Source organism: Homo sapiens, chromosome 5, assembly GCF_000001405.40.
Source record: "Homo sapiens chromosome 5, GRCh38.p14 Primary Assembly".
Classification (NCBI taxonomy): domain Eukaryota; kingdom Metazoa; phylum Chordata; class Mammalia; order Primates; family Hominidae; genus Homo; species Homo sapiens.
In genome coordinates this window covers 144192467-144209586 of record NC_000005.10, presented here as the reverse complement: position 1 = coordinate 144209586, position 17120 = coordinate 144192467, and the positions used below count along the sequence as shown (strand labels likewise).

At 39.5% G+C, this 17120-nt stretch overlaps 1 protein-coding gene across 7 annotated transcripts in view; it reads right to left on the bottom strand.

Moving 5' to 3' along the window:
- The window catches only part of KCTD16 (potassium channel tetramerization domain containing 16), a 314814-nt gene that overhangs the window by 276100 nt on the left and 21594 nt on the right, over positions 1–17120 (bottom strand). For 2 of the 7 annotated variants that reach the window (NM_001370486.1, XM_011537673.3), the window contains exons 1-2: positions 3546–4196; positions 2041–3198 (exon numbers count right to left, since the gene is read on the bottom strand). In NM_001370486.1, the coding sequence (NP_001357415.1) occupies positions 2041–2872 (832 nt within the window). In that variant the 5' untranslated portion in view covers positions 2873–3198; positions 3546–4196. Of the gene's footprint in view, positions 1–2040; positions 3259–3545; positions 4197–17120 lie in introns of those variants that run through there. The other 5 variants (XM_005268493.3, XM_047417450.1, NM_020768.4 and 2 more) reach the window with 3 other exon arrangements.

Sequence of the window (17120 nt, the reverse complement as noted above, 5' to 3'; positions counted from 1 at the left end):
GCACCCTAGAAAGCCAGCTGTCAGTTTTATTGGTCCTAAGACAGAGGAAGAGTTAACACTTAGCTCTAGATGGTGGGTACAAAGGGGAAGTATATCATTTGCAAGATATATGCTGCTGGTATGAAGTTCCTGTGCATTTGTGCTAGCCTGTCCATGGAGAGATGGAGAACAAACTGTTCCTCAGCAATCTCTCAGCAATTCAACAAAGAAAGAAGAAACGACATAGTCAGGAGAATGGAGCCTGTCCAGATAAATCTAAAGGGAAATCGTGTTGGACAGATGAGCCTTTGATGAACACAGAAATGCCACTGGTAGACAAATAAATTTCAGTGTGTGGGTCTCATTTATGTAAGCAAGTGACTATAAATCCAATGTGGTCTTTTTGGAGGGTATAACTGGTATGTTTCCATTTATTTGGTTGAAGCTTCTTACGATGCTATGTTTTCAAATATTCAAAATCGGAGAACATGGTAAATATTACAAAGCTGCATTGGAACTATCTTTAAGATGTACTTCTCCAAAAAGTTTGGAGAAGATATTTCTGCTTCAGAATTATAGATAATGTCATATTCCTTTATAGAAAGCTAAAAAGCCGGAATCTTATCTCTACACTAGTGGGAAATTTACCAAAAGGAAGAAGACAATACCTGTCCACTAAGCTCTAGCATAAAGAAAGATATAGATTGTAGATAAAGGCCACAGATAGGATTAATGAACCAAATGATGTTTGTTATCGCACATCAATATACTCCTGAACTGATTACTGATTTCGTTTTTTTCCACAGGTTGTTCTGGCTATGCAATACATGTGTCTTAACCAAATGTGTGATAGCTTAGTAGAGAATGACTTGGCTTCCCACTAGCCTCTCTACCAAGGTTCCCGGCACCATTGCCAAATGATTAAACATAACTAAGGAAAAAAACCAGTCCAAGAAATTCAGTCCTACTTTTATGTTTAAAGAAATTTAGATATTTTAATCCTGAATTCTGGATTTGTTTTAGAATAAGAATAGAGGAAATCAAATGTTAACACTGGAAACATATTTCTTGTGGAATTTACTTCACCCAACTCCTGGGCCTGTTGAAAATCGGCAGTTAAAATCAAGTACCAAAGAGTGCAGGCTGATTTACTCTTTTCCTTTCAGGGATCAATGGCTCACAGTTTATAGTTTAGAATAATGCCATATCATAAAATGAGGAATCTGCAGGGTATCTTCATTTAAGCAAATGAACTGACCTCTAAGAACCCCTTACTTAAAAGGCTTCAGTATCATTGTTTCATTTCTTCCCTCTCTGGCTTCCTTTTATGTCAGTAATTCTACCACCTCAGCTGTCTGAAGGTGTTTAAATGTGATTGACAATTCTGAAGGATCTAGTTCCTTTTACATAGATCTTAAATGAAGTTCAGCTTAATTAAGTCTGCAGTGCAACTCAGGTCTCAGTACAAAAGGCTTCAGAATCAAACAGCAGATTTGTAAAACCCTTAAAAGCAAAATTTAGACTTGGGGGGAGCAGGGGGCCTTTCAGCAGTCTGTACTGCCATCTAGCCAAGACCACATTATTCATTGCAACATCCATTTGTGTTTTCAAAGCCCCTGATGAAAGCAAGTCTTCAGCAACCAGCTTAATAGACCTCAAAGTCCAGCTAAATGAATAGACAGCAGTAATTCACCCACTGAGTATACCAAGCTCCTGTGGACAAACAGCCAAGATGTAATAATCAACCTTATTTTCTCAATTCAATATCTGGCAAAAACAAAAAGACATACATGCTTGTTCCATTTTACATATTGCATATACCAATATCATTTGCATTTTATTATTTTGGAGGCCTTTGAATATTCTGTGACCTCATTGGATAAAAGTTGCCTTAGGTTAGACATGAGAGCTGAATTATAACCTCTAATCCTCTAACTACAACTCAAGAGTTAAAAAGAATTCCAAACCATGTTCCTTAGGTATGGAGAGAACACACAGACCATATACATTTGTGAAGAGCATTGACACACATAAAAAATTAAAACAACCCTTTGTACTTACGGTAGAAGACATATTCAGTGTAGCTTGACCAGATCTTGTCATCTGTATATTGGTTGATGAAAGATGCTGTCACCGATGAGTTACAGGCCACCATGTGGAATCCACACTCTGACAACATATCAAAAGCCCTTTCCAGGTGCTTGAATTTGAGATAAAATCTGGAGGTGTATCTTTCTGGGGCTCGATCAGGGTCTCTGCTTTCATTCAAAGTTTCTCCAAAGACTTCTTTTGCCAAGGAAATCCTTCCACAAACCAAAATCCGGGGAACTCTCCGAAACTTGGCATCTGCCTGTCCCTCTCTGCCCAAGGTGCAGGATCCTCTGTAACCCACAGTAATGAAACCCCACTTGCGGTCGGCAGGGAGCAGGGAGGAAGGGGGGCAGATTCTTGTGTCGCTTCCTTGGGAGGCATCTTCAAAGTCACTGTGGCAGAATTCATCTGGGCTTTGCTTGATTTCATCGGGGGTCAGGAGTTTGACCAAGTCTGGGAGCTGGAAGTATTCAGCTTCCCTTTTCAGTCTTCCTTTTTCTGGAAAGTGATCAGGCAGGACCACCTGCCTGTCCCTGAGATAGTCCAGAATATAACGGAACAAGAATCCATCTCTGTCAATGAAAAACCTTCCCTTGGAGTCCTTGGCTAGATCATTAGCCGTGTCTCTCTTTGGGGAAAACATTTTCCACAGGAGGGAATGAGGGATGCTTATCAATGTGGAATGGCGAGTAAAATAAACTTGACCCCCGACATTCAGCTCTACCACCTCAGGGAAGGAGTTGGGAACTGCGGACCCTTGTTCTCGAGGATAATAACGACTACAGTTTCCACTCAGAGCCATTGTCCCTTTCTTCTGCTGCTGCTATTTTGATTTAAAGGTGCAATCCAATGGAGTCACAGCCTTATCCTTTGGATCAACTTGTAAGAAAGGGAAAAGGATGCTAACTTATTAAAAAATGACCTCCTCTTATCCCAGTATTTTTCCCCCAAGAAATCAAAATGTATAAGAGTCCACAGGTGAAGTGATGCTGAAAAAGTAGTTTAAACCCTGGATGGTGGATGGTAGTGAGCTGCTACTTCATAAAATATAATCAACTCGTCTATATCCAATCTTCCATCAAGCTCACATGCAAGGCAGGCCAATTCCCCAGTTACTCAGATGTCCGTCTGAAGGAAAAGAGAAAAAATTATTTCCTCAAACCTGGAATGAGTCAGAAAAAGAGTCCTCTGGAGAGAGAGAGAGGGAGGGAGGGAAAAACAGAGGGAGGGAGAGAGAGATTATTTTACATAAGCAGCTCTGGAACTACTGATCTCAGCCATTCTTCAATTAAATCATAGCTTCTCTCATGCTATTTTGTGCCTACATGTTTATCTATAAGCCTCTGTCTCCAGCAATTAGTATGAAAAACAATTTACTTGTAAGTCTACATTAAAAAGAAACATGCAATTTTCAACTTCCAAATGGGAATTTTTTTTTCAGCTGGACAGGAAAAGCAATAAGTCTTAGAGCTTACCTTAGTGAGTGCTGGAGACCCAGTTCTTGTGAAAAAAATAATAATAACCATTTGTAAAGCAATCAAAATCCACAGCCAAACTGAGTCTGGATCTTGTCAAATCCCAAACAGGTAAACGACCGAGGTATCAATGAAAAGTGCCAGAGAGGTGTGCTCTTGGAAAATAACTATTATATATATGCATTTATATAAATGCCTATTTGTATTTATGTATGTATGTAGGTACATATGTGTTCATTCCGTATCTTAAGTTAAAACAAGTCGCAAAAAAAGTTAAGCCCTGATGAGAGGAGGTTGGGTTGAAGAAGTAAAGCAGAGAAAATATTCAACCAAAGCTTCCCCAGGGGAAAAGAAAAATGGAAAAAGAAATCTTTGGAAAGGATCCTTAGAAGAGAGTTGCAAGAGGTACCAGGACTTAGAAGCTTTTCAGAAAGCCCAGAAGCAGAAAGATGGAGAGATGTGCCCTGCTAGGGTCCCAGGTAGCCACCCCACCTGCCGGCAAGGGCAAACGGACTCCCATGTTCCCAGCCAGGTGGGAGCCGGTGCGAGCCAGAGGCCAACGCAGCGCAGAGATGCCGGCGGGGGGCCCGGGGCTCCGGCTTCTCTGGCGGCGGAGCTGGGTGGTTCCACAGTTCCCAGTGCAGTTCGGATGCTGTTGTTTCAGCAGTGCAGGCAAGAAACCATCCAGGGAAATGACTATTACATCATCTTAAAGGAATATGGCTTGGAGAAAGCGGAGGCAGCTCCGAGTCACGTCCTCCTCGGTGACAGGTTGCCAGGACTGCACGGGGACGCCGCGCTCCGGCGGTGGGCACGCGATTGCCAGGCGCGCGGGGCTTGGGGCGGGGACGCAGTGCTGCGCAGCCACTTCCCTCCCTGTCCTGTCCTGGAGTCTGGAGTTTCCAAGGGCCTTTTCCTTCTTCCTTGTCTTTACCTCCATCACCATCCCACAGCAAATCCCTGCCCCCTACCCAAGAGGTAAGTTGTGAGATAAACACAACTGACTTTTTATTTGAAAAATCTACAGATCTTCCCCCCTCCCCCCTCCTCGTTCACGGAATTCCTTCCTGCTGAAGGGCAAATATCCCTCTAATGCTTGTTTTAAAACACAGACACGCACACCAAATGACCCCAGTGTTCAAACTACACAGTGTTTTTTTTAATCCTTTGATTTAAACCATATTCACTCAAATTCTCCCTTTTTTTCCTTTTCTATTTCATCCGCCTGCCACCACAACCCCTAGCAAATAAATAAATATGAATATATATGTAAATAGGTAGATACATAAACACTCTCTCTGAAATTAATGATGCTCTTTCAAAATGAAGACGTGAAGCACCGGCACCCACAGAAAGCCCACAGTTTACATCCATAAGTCATTATCTTAGCTCACCTGTAAGAAATTGATACCTGCAACCTTTTTCTGGGGTTGTTTCCTTACTGCGCGTCTCTTTGGACGTGCCCCCAGCCCCTCCCAAGTCATCCCAAGAGGACTCTGGTGGAAGGCACTGCTGCTAAAAGACATTTTACTCCTGTTCCAGAGGGCTCCCTTAAGTGCATCATTAGAGTTTCAGGAAGGCATTTCCAGGGCAACCTAATCCACTAACAAAGTGCTTCCAGTTGAGCCTGACAGTCAATAATGGCCCAGCCAACAGCTTACAGTAAGTCGGCCATTTCCCCTTTAAAACACCAGTGTCTTAGGGCTCACATCCCTGATAAGAATATAGTGCTTGGTCAATGAATAATATATGTGAGGCACACGCCATCCCAAACAATTGCTATTTTTAAAAAGTGAAAAACAAAAATGGAGGTGAACTTAGGAATTATATACATTTTATGAGAAACGTGTTTATTGCCAACTCTTGCCCAAAAAATTAGCTTGAAGATACGCTCAACAGTAGGATAAATTAGTTTCTACTTTAACAATCTTTTCTTTCAATAAGCATTGGGTTACTGAACATATTCAGAGCGTTAGCTAACATTCCTACACCTGATTATATTTGACTTTGTTTCGTTAACTAATGCATTAACCTGTTCTGGCCTCAATCATTAGGATTTTAATGCTGGACCAAGCAAGATGTTTGTTATGTGATGCACTTATATCGCCATCTAGTGCCCTAAGCTATCAGTGCAGCTCTGTATCTGGCAACTTAATAGGGCCAAAACATTTAGATTTTCTTTTATTTTTAAGTTTTTATAGTGATCTAAGTTTACTTGGCATGCACTGCTCACCATGACAACAAAATAAATATTTCGTTGACATCAGGTCAAAGACAAAATAAATCTGAATTCAGACCTATTAAGTACTGGTTTTGGTTGTAAAGTAAGCAAATGTTTTATTTCTAAGAGAGTAGGTCAAAACGTCATGACGATAGCTTTGGAGCTCAGGTATGAAAACACTGCAGGGACAGTATGGCAGTAGGTGGAGAAACAGAGTAAGAAAAATTATAATCTTTTAGAGCTAAAACGGACTTGAGGAATGAAAATTAACTATCTCTTCTTAGAGATGCAGAACTGAGGAACAGAGAGGTTCAGCACTTCCTCAGGGTCACACGATTCCAGAGTAACAGGATGGGCTTTAGACCACTGACTCTTCAGGATAACCATCCTCATTTTAACCTTAGATATTCTTGAATAGGAATAGAGAGGCGGCAAGTTTAAGAAACAAGATTTTTTTTGAAACAACAAATTGCAAGACATTTTCTTGAAATTTGAAACAACAAATTTCAAGATTACTAAACATGTTTTTAAAAAGCACACCAAGAATTAATATTAATATTAATACTCTTAAAAAGAGTATTAATATTACTTTAAATTGCAGAGTTAAAAGATTTTATAATATAAAAGAAGAATATTCTGAATTTTTAAAATGAGGAGTTCTGTTCATTGGTCTGGGTTTTATAGGTTAGGTTACTTTTGAGACAAGTAGATTCTTAACCTTTTTTGGAAAATGGACTGCTTAGAGAATCTAATAAAACCTAGGAAATGAATCCACAAGCATAAAAGTTTGCATTCACTGTCAAGGCAGAACCTCTCAGGAAAGGCTGAGTAAAAAGAGGAACAGGTGCGGGGGCCATGTAGTTGATGATTCACATAAGCAGAATTCCTCAAATTTTGACTATGAAACTTCTTTTTGAAGTGAGATTACACATACATTCACAGAGACACACTCTGAGAATTGAAAAATGGAAAACATTCACCAGACAACCTTAATCTTGCAACCCATGATTTGATCATACCACCTGAAACATTTTGAATTGGTATTTTTCATAAACACTGTAAATATCCTGTTTTGCACAATTATATTGCATCATATTGTTAATTGTTGTGTGCTAAAACAGTTTGTTTATTATAGTAAGCAGTTAAAAATAAACACTTGCTTTGCTAACTCTATTTGGGCATATCTACTTTTTAATCTAAATGGAACCTCAGAAAAGCAAGATGGTCTAGGCCTCCCTCACCTTCTGAGAGATCAGGGGTTTGGTTCAAGATTGGCCTGAAGCCCATTCATGTTGGGGTTCATAGACCTCAGGTTAACATCCCCAGATCTGTACTCCTTCTTGTTTCTTTAGTCTCAGGGATGAAAACGAATGAGAGGTGAGATTAAAAAGATAAAAGACTTGAAGGAAATAAAGCAATACACTCTACAAAGAGATTTAAATAGTGCTAGAGTAAGCGAATGTCTCAGGGAAGTTGTCGGTAAGCCCGGCTGTTTGGTGCCTTAACAAGAGGCAAGAAGCCAAGTCTAGGCTGTAAGTGTATTCCTAGCCTTCGTGTCAGCAAATAACACCGCTAGTGTTATTATTCTCTCTTGGCAGCTCTCCGCTGAAACACTGTGGGATGGCACTCCCGGACTGAAGGCTGAACAGCATACGGCAACAGATTTCTCTTAGAGGAAGAGCAAGGAAGAATGCTCCATCCTGTTCTTTGTAATATTCAAGCATATAGCAAATCAAGACGTATGTTAGGTAAATTGTGAAATTGATAAAATATGTTTTCGCCTCTGTTTCCTGCTTTCACATGCACAGCCAAATATTGAAGGGTATATTCTCAAAAGGACTATTTTAATTTTGAAATAATGTGATCACTCTCTACATTCTCACTCCTAACACATCCTTAAGTTTTCTCTGCCCTCAAGCAGAGATAGCTTTCATGCTGACAGCCTTCGCTATCAGGGAGGAAACAGACCTCATAAACTTACTTATGCTAAGATGCTGCACACTCATCGTGTTATGTGCTCCCAAGGATTCCTGCATTATCACCATTATCTTAATAGCTGCTGTTTATGGAGGGATGACCATCAAGTCCTCACCACAGTCAGTCGTTATCCCTCTTCCAGTTCTGCCTGGCTGGCTGTGTGACTTTGAACAGGAGACTCATGTCTCTGAGCCAGGGTATGGTGGCAATAAAAAGACCTGCCTCGCAGGTGTGTTGCGTGGACTAAATATGAAGATGCATGTGAGCTCTCTGGCACATTCCATGGCTTTTAGCAAGTGCTTAATAAATGTCATTAGTGTTCATGCTAGTGGTTTAAAATATCTGTATTCATTGTTGTTAAACTCCAATTGAGGCATAAAGAAATTACAAAAGATGCCCAAACATAGAAATTGAGTTCTACATCCAAAATCATTACTCTTTCCAGTATGAAAATTCAGGTTAACACCATTGCTTGTTATAAATGTATTTATTATTCATGGGGGAATTTCAGGATTTGGTGAGGGAGATGGGGTGGCAGAGTGGGGAACTGAAAATAATCAGTATCGCAGTGGTTAAAAATGAAAATGCCACTGTCTTTTGCCAGACAAGATTATTTCCCTGGTAACCTTTCATTTATACTACATGGATTTATTAAGTGCCTATGTTGTGTCCAGCACACTTCTAGGTAGTTGAGATGCAAAGCCCGATTTCATATAGTCTCTGACTCAAACACTCACATGCAAATGCACACACAAACTCAAAATCCTACCAATGGGGGAAAAAATTTAAAGTTACATTGGCTGGGTAAGGTGGCTCGCACCTGTAATTCCAGCACTTTGGGAGGATGATGTGGGAAGATTGCTTAAGGCCAAGAGTTTGAGACCACGCTGGGCAACAGCAAGACCCTGTCTCTACAAAAATACATTAAGAAATAGAAAAATTAGCCTGGTGTGGTGGTGCATTCCTATAGTCCCAGCTACTTGGGAGGCTGAGGGGGGAGAATACCTTGAGTCTCGAGTTTAAGGGTGCAATGAGCTATGATGGTGCCTCTGCACACCAGCCTGGGCAACAGAGTGAGACCCTACCTCAAAAAGAAAACAAAGTTATAGATTCTTGGGCACTGCCTTTTATTTTCAGAAATATCCCTAGTGCCGTATTTAGCCTTTGGTGTTACATAGTTCACGTATGATTTTGACAAACCATTTAACCTCAGATGGCCTCTGCTTCCATATCTATAAAATGAAACCATCTCCCCTTAAAGAGATATCATGGCCAATGACAAAATAAAGATCAAATACAGCTGTCAAATCTTCAGACATTCTAGGAAGTAATTTGCTATGTAAGAAACAGATGAAGAAGGCAGCAAACAGTGATCTTTCTTGTTAACGTAAAGCCTGGCAAGAAAGAATTTGGATTAGACTTGTATAATCTAAAAGTTGGGAGTGGAGATCCTTCGGGGTCATCCACTGCAGCCTCAGATTCAGATAAAAGCTTCATAGCAGATGTTCAGCCAAGTCATTTCTCTCACAGTTTCTCCCTGAAAATACTCCTGATTTCCACTGTCATAAAATACAAATGAAAGCAAAAGCTGTCTGTATCACCATTGTGCCTCCGAACAGAATTCTACAGGATAAAGTTCTTCTAAGTGAACTATAATTTTGAGATTTGATCTTTAAAAAAAAAAAATTATGCTACTCTGAAAAAAAAGTACTGCTCTTCAGACATAAAGGCAACTTTACTGACTATATTCACAGGGTCTAAAATTTTTGCGGTGTGCATGTATGTGAGTGTGTACGCAAGTATACATTTCTGTAGTAGGTACAGATGTGAAGTCACATTTTAAATTTGTCTTCAAAACGAGGAAGCACTTTGGGAGGCAGAAGCGGGCGGATCATGAGATCAGGAGATCGAGACCATCCTGGCTAACATGGTGAAACCCTGTCTCTACTAAAATACAAAAAATTAGTCGGGTGTGATGGTACGCACTTGTAGTCCCAGCTACGGGAGGCTGAATCAGGGGAATCGCTTGAACCCGGAAGGCGGAGATTGCAATGAGCCAAGATTTTGCCACTGCACTCCAGCCTGATGACAAAGCGAGACTCTGTCTCAAAAAAAAAAAAAAAAAAAAAAAAAAAATGAAGCTGTTCTGGAACAAATGGTCAAAGTTAGGAGTGCACAATTTGGCCATGAAGTCAAGTAAAGCCAACTCCCACATATGTGTTTTAAAACTGTGATCTCATCAGCATGAAGCCTAACCAACAGAAATATACTTATTTCTGAAAATGGGTTGGCAAATGAAAAACATAGCTGCACAATTAGCTGCACGATTCTCATATAATTGGTTTTACTAAATCCACATGCACTATTTTAGGAATAGCCCTAAAAACAAGACGCCTACCTTTGCCTCCCCTGAAGTCCTTCACCTACAGCCTGTTGATCCATGTCGTGTTATTCCCTGTGGGATGTTTGTTAGCTAAATTGTATTACACATGTTGGTGGAGTCTTCTTTATGTCTGCTCTATGTACTATGTAATATATCTTTCGGTAAAGCAGTAGTGTAAACTGCAAGCCAGTAATTATCAACCTTTTATCTCCTACCTAGGGAACCCATCTTTCAAAAGGCGTCTTTGTTGTCATTCCATAATATGCAACAGATACAAGTGGAATGAAATCAGAATCAGCTTAGGTGTTAAGTTCAAAAATATTTATTTTTTAAAAAATCTTCCAGAACTTGCAATAATAAATATCTCAAATGTCTTTAGAATGCATTTTAATTTTTTTCTAAATAGTTTTATATATGTGTAAATGGAATTTGTGGAATACCCTGAAGCAACTTAAGGAAATAGAGTTTTAAAATCCTGTTTGTAAAGAAAAGAAACAGGTTTTAGAATCAGGCAGAACAGAGTTTGAAAGAGGTACTTACCAGCTATATAATCATGAGCAAACACTTTACTCATTTATGCTGTTGATGTTACTGATCCCTTTTCTGAAAGCCTGGCTCTCCCTTCTAGGAGAGGAATACGAGAAAGTAAAGTGATACTCAGAACTCTAAGCACATTTGCCCTTGGAGATTGATAATTTGTTCATTTAAAAACAGGGCTTCTAACTTGGAAAGTATCTACACCTTTCAAAGGATGATGAATAGAAGAAAGTGAATGAACAGGCTGGCTCATTCAAAACAGATCACATCATTTTACAGTGATTCAGCACAGTCACTTTGGTATAGCGATTGTTTGTAGAAGGCGTTTTTCACAAATAAATCCAAACATGTCATACTCTTAGGCTGAAATGAATCTTACCAGTGGCATCTGCAGATGGGGAACAGCAGGAAGTAAGAAGGGCAAACACCAAATAACAAATGGAAAGATTTAGCTCAAGGAGCAAAATGGAATTGTTTTATTAGAGGACTCGAGGACTCAAAGCTGAGAATTGCAGATATGCTCTGAATACCACTTTTTTCCCTTCCCTTTTGAATTATTTGCAAGAAATCCATGGGGCAGGGGTCATTTTTCATTCTTGGTACCCTCAAGCAGGTAGCACAAGGTCTGGCATCTGAGAGATGCTCAATTAATGTTTGTTTAATTTAATTGCAGAACCAAGAGCGAAATCCTCAGAATGGCCCAATGAAACAATTACAAAGCTGATAGGGTCATATCAGATGGAGCTGTTGGTTAGGAATATAAGGTAGTTGATTCCAGTTTGTTTCTCAGACATTGAGTTCTACATGCTAGCAGGGATCTTTTCATTTGGTCAGGTCCGAGAGAAATAAGCTGACTGCGAAAACCACCCTCTCTTAACCCACTACTACAAAGAGGTATTCATGTCTTCGATGTGGGGTCAAATTGGAATGGAAAAAAAGAGAAACCTTTAAAAGAAACACTCCTGAAAGAGTAAGAGATCAGAGTTTCCAGTTTCAAAATTTCACTGACACCAGTTTCTTAAAAGATTCATGTCTGTGCCTGTGGCCAAACAAATTAATAAAATTAACTGACCCAATTGCCAGGCAATTCCACATACATTTTCTATCTTAATTCCTAAAACAATCCTGAAATGTTAGCATTGTGGGGAGAATAAAAGAGCCTCCAAGAGGTTAAGTAACCAGCAGCGGATCACACCAAACCTGTCTGATTCCGAGGTCCTTTTTCACTACACCCAAATTATTTGGGCATATAGTTTCTTTTATTAAATATGCTCACTGTGTACCCAATGGTTTGGCATCACAAAGAACACCAACACAATCCAGCATAGATCACCACTATATCCCCAATCGCAGTTCAGTGCCAGGCTCAGAGTAAGCACTCTATATATATTTGTCAAAGGGTTGTGAGAATGAACAAGCAAATGAATGAATGAAAGAATAAACCACCAATTAGGCCAGTGGTATCCAGAAGTTTCATCTGGATATAACAAGCATGTGATCTAAGAGTGTAGCATATCTAATTTTCTTTACTCCTGAAATGTTGTTTCCAAATGTGAAAAGTGAAATGTTTATGAATAGAGCATCAGAGAACTGACCCTTCATGAATCCAAAAGGATAAGTAATATATATGTTTATGTTCCAGAATTTAAAAGCTTATAGAAATAAGACATTGCTTTTAGGATAAAAGTTTACATCAGAACTATAAAATTCTAGTTTTTATTTTTTAAAAAGTGCTTATATGCTTGAAAAATATGATTTACTGAAAAAGTATTTTGTCAAGGTACCAGACAATTATAATCCAACTATTTTATGCATCAGTTACTCTGCATTCTTTCCAAACATGTGTGTAGGATGGGTTATGGAGTTAGAATGCCTGATAATGATTGACCTACATAGACACACATACCGGGCACAAGATTTAAAGGGCCAAAGTACATAATTCAAATATGAGGTAGGAAACATCACCTTTTTTGCTGTACAACGCAGATTTGCACAGCTGCTGCCAAGGAAATTGCATGTTACCTTTACAGACAATGATCTGAGCCTCAAGCACATCTCACAATTACCCTAGGGGTCTCTCAAAATGACAGGCTGGTACTATTGCAATGTGCAGTTCCAATAGCTGCCAGAGGACATCAGACAATTGTTTGAAATGGAGCCAGTGTTGTATATCTTCCTGATAAATCTGGTTGCCATTCATCAGGAAAAAGAATGCCTATGAACAAATGGAGTGACACAAAAAAAGATTTATGTATCTGATAGAACCTGGATTCAACCTGGTGTCCCTTGAACAATCTCTTGAATTTTTCATATATTTAAATGAGGTCTTGAGAGTAGTTACATACATCTGTGTTGTTGATGTGCCATAATACAGGACATAGAAGCTGCAATTACTCCTGGATAGGACATATAATACAATTATAAATTAAGATTAAAAATTAGATGAAAGGGCTAGGGATGGAGAAATAATAAATGTTTTATTTGCCCCAAAGACAGTAATAAAATACCTTCCTTTTATTGCCATTTGGTCCGAGGTCATTTATACCTATAAGGGTAAAGAAAGAAAAAGTAACTGCCCAATGGAAGTGACTGATGGAGTTTTATTATTGTGAGGCACTGACAATAATAAAAGTGCTTCACAATAGTAAAAACTCGCTTCCCTCCAAAAAAATAAGATCACCTGCAGAGCCACTGGCCAATCAGAGCCGACATAGAGTCCTTCCCTAGAGCCCCACATAGTAATGACAGCTAAGATTGCTGGAGTCCAGCAAAATACGTTTTGAGCTCCTTTAAAATGTTTTGGCCATGTCTCTTATTATCATTCATTTACTCAAATATTTATGTGTATCTATTTGTACAAGGAACTATGTTAGGCTTTGTAGAGAATGTAATAGTGAATCAAACATGAGTGTTACCTTCACTAAGCTTATAATCCAATAGGGGAAAACACTCTGTGTCTGACTTGGAGACAACTGGCACACAGGAGAAAGTGATGACTGCTGTTAAGAGAAGAGGAAAAAGTTCTATGAGAGCAACAGAGCAACCAAAAGCAAAGTCATTTTTTGAAACTCTAAGAAACATCATGCCTAGAACAAAGTGCCCATTAATAAATTATTGATGAACTAAAGAAAGTGCCACTTTGCATTACTATACATTTACTCGGTATGAAATCAGAGAGGCACTCATTTAGAATTCATTTAGAGCTGTTCCAGACAGGGCTGATTCATTAGAGTGCTGATGATCTCAGAAATATTTTATATGTGTATATAAATGTAAGTCCGTTGCAGCACTCTACCGTACAGCTAATCTGTATTTGGTTCTCAGCCAGTGAAGACTAAGAGCCATTTGAGTGGCCCTTCCCTCTCCATTTGTTGACTCCACCAGCTCCCTCTTTCTGTGGTTCCTTGTGTGCCAGTGAACACTGAAGCTCAAGATGGCTGACAAAAGGTGACCAAGCAACGGTGCTGGAGATTCTGCAAAAATCATGAAAGGTGCTGGATGGTAGCAAGCAGGCTGCACTGCAACAACCTCAGATGCCCCCAAGGAGGTGGTCTAAGAAACCCAGATCAGCAGACATTTGTTGCCTGGTAGAAATCCTTTGAGATTTTGAAGGACAACATAAGCCTTGCAGCAACCCAGAAAGATAAGAAAGGTAAATAGAAGAAATCTTGGGCCAAAGGCACATATAGCATCAATGTAGTTAATGTGATAATTTCCAGGAAGAGATTCCCCCATGCTAACAGGGTATGCCTATAGTTTAACAATTGGGGGATGGTGGTAGAGGAGGATTTCAAGCACTATTTCTATTTCAGATACACAGGGAGTCCTGTAATTAAGGATATCCTGAGGGTCTGGGGAAGCTGACGGTGTAAGCAACAGTTCTTTAAGGCAAGTGTGTGACACAAAGGAAATCTAATAAAAGAACAAGTTACTTTTGATCAGCACAAAATGACAACATTGAAGGATTTGTGGTCACCTTTCATTACTGCAAATAAAATTTTCCTTAAGTTCACCTAGTATTCACAAATTCATAGTATTCACAAAAAATACCAAAACACAATTTAAGTACTAAAAATGATTATTTCTTGCACAGAGAAGCAATAGAGCATCATGGTTAAAAGGGTGGGCTTTGGGATCAGAGAGTCCTGGGGTCGAATCCCACCTCCATTGTTTACCAGCTGAAAAAGTTACATACATCTGAGCCACAGTTTTCTCATCTGTACAACAGGGGTAATAATTGTACTTCCCATACAGAGTTTTGTGAGAACTAAATAAATAATGCATGTTAAATGCTTAGTGCACTAACTGGCCCATAGTAAATGCTCAACAAATGTATCATTTGCTATTACAAACACATTGCTTCGTGTCTTTTTAAAAATGAATTCTCTCCTTCCCCAAACTGTTCTAATTATTAGCTCCACAAGAGCTCAGGGTAGAGCCACATCACTAACATTGACCAATCCTTACTCTGGACCCCTTACAGATGTGAAGGGAAGGAAACAGAGCAATCATATAAATCTCCCTTGAGGATGCAGAGCCTCCTACTGAGAGGTGGTTTGGATAAGTCAAAGAGCACCATACGGCAGTGTTGTAATGTTTCCCGCATGGATAACACATTTTCTACTTGACAAGTTATCAGTGTCACCATCTCTGGCCCCATAAGCTCCAGAGCTTGTTCCTCATTTGTTAGATGTCACTTGTCCCAGCATGGTGCTTTATATACAAGGATATCTGAGTGAAAGTCTGCACATTTTTAATGTTCTCTTCTTTCTTCCTAAATATTCCCCCTTGTTGACTAATTCAGTCTCGGTGAACCATCTTCACTGTATGCAAATGACTGTAACACCTAAATGCTTGGCCTTGCTTTCTTCTCAACTTCCATACACCTGCTGGGCATTTTTACAGAGATCTACCAGCACCTTACACTCGAGTCCTAAGCTAAATATCTGTTTTCCACTCTCATCTTTTTCATTTCTCCAAGTTCTCCTTCTGTGTTAAGAGCATCACAGGTTTCTCAGTCCAAGTGAAAATCCATCATCTGATCCCTCCCTTTCCATTGGCACCCAACACTCAATAATTAAGTCTACCCACTTTCTCTACTATACTTCTTTCAGATATCTCTTCTCTTCGCTTCCATTTGTCGTACCTTTGTTCTTTGCCTTTTACCCAAATTTGACTAAGAAATAATTATGGAGCCATGAGCCAGGCACAACACTAAGCTATAAGCTCTATGTGTTGGGGATCCAGAAATGAATAAAGTAGACCAGCTCTTTGCCATCATGGAACTTCCATTATAGGCCAGACACACAGATCATAAACAAATAAACAAATAAATGAGCAAGATCATTTCATATAGTGAAATGAGCTATGAATAAAATAGAATAGGTAATATTTAAAAAATCTTGTTTGGGGCAAGGAGAAGAGGATTGATACTGCAGGCTGAGACTCTGGGGAGGGGAGCCAGCTATGTGAAATGCTGGGAACAGTGTGCTCTAGGCAGGTGGAATGGAAACAGCAAAGGCTCAGCTGTCTGAGGTGAAACTAAGCTCGGCTTGTTCAAGGAACCAAGAAAGCCAGCAAGTTGGATCCCAATGAGCAAGGGTGAGAGTGCAGGTCTGAGAAGTAGGCAGGGACCAAACCACAGATTTCATTCTATGTGTTATGGGAAGTCATTGGGAATTTAAAGTTAGAAGTGACATGTTCTGGTTTGCTTACTTTTTAAAAGGTGACTTTGGCTGATATGGGGATAACAGATTGTCAGGGAAACAAAATTAGTTGTAGGGAGATCAGTGGGGAGAATTTACAGGGATTTAGTGATATATGATGATGTCTCAGACCAGAGTGAAGTAGAATACATGAGGAAAAGCTAGCAAGGATTTTGGGGGTACAGGTGGTGGTATTTCTATATGGACCTGTTAATGTTCTTCCTCCTTTCAAGTTTTTACATCTCAGTTCATTTGACACAAAGCTAACAGTGTCCTCTTTCTAAAGATGCCATTATTTGCCCAGATATCTTAATTGGCTCACCACTGCTCATAGAATAAACTCCAAAGTCCTTGGTGTATATTCAAAGCTCTCTGCTATCTGGCCTCACCTTCTTTAGAGTTCCATACAAATGGGCTGATAAGGAAAGGGAAAAAAATGGTTACAGAGACATTCAAAAGTTCTGAGATAAATCATTTCAAAAATAGTGATATTCATAGAAAGTGGTGCTGGTTTTTGATATGTGAAGGACCAGCATTCACAGCTCTTCAACTGCTCTTAAAATCTGAAAGGTTCTGTCATAAATGAAAAAGCCACAGTGCCTCAACCAGTGGCTTGCTTTAACTTCCAAGGGAAGAAATAGGAAAGCTCTAGGAACTAGAAGAAATCATGTAACCCCTTAGAACACAAATAAATAGATGAATTAATTGATTTTGTTACAATCCTTCGCTTTATTCGTTCCCTGGTCTAAAAT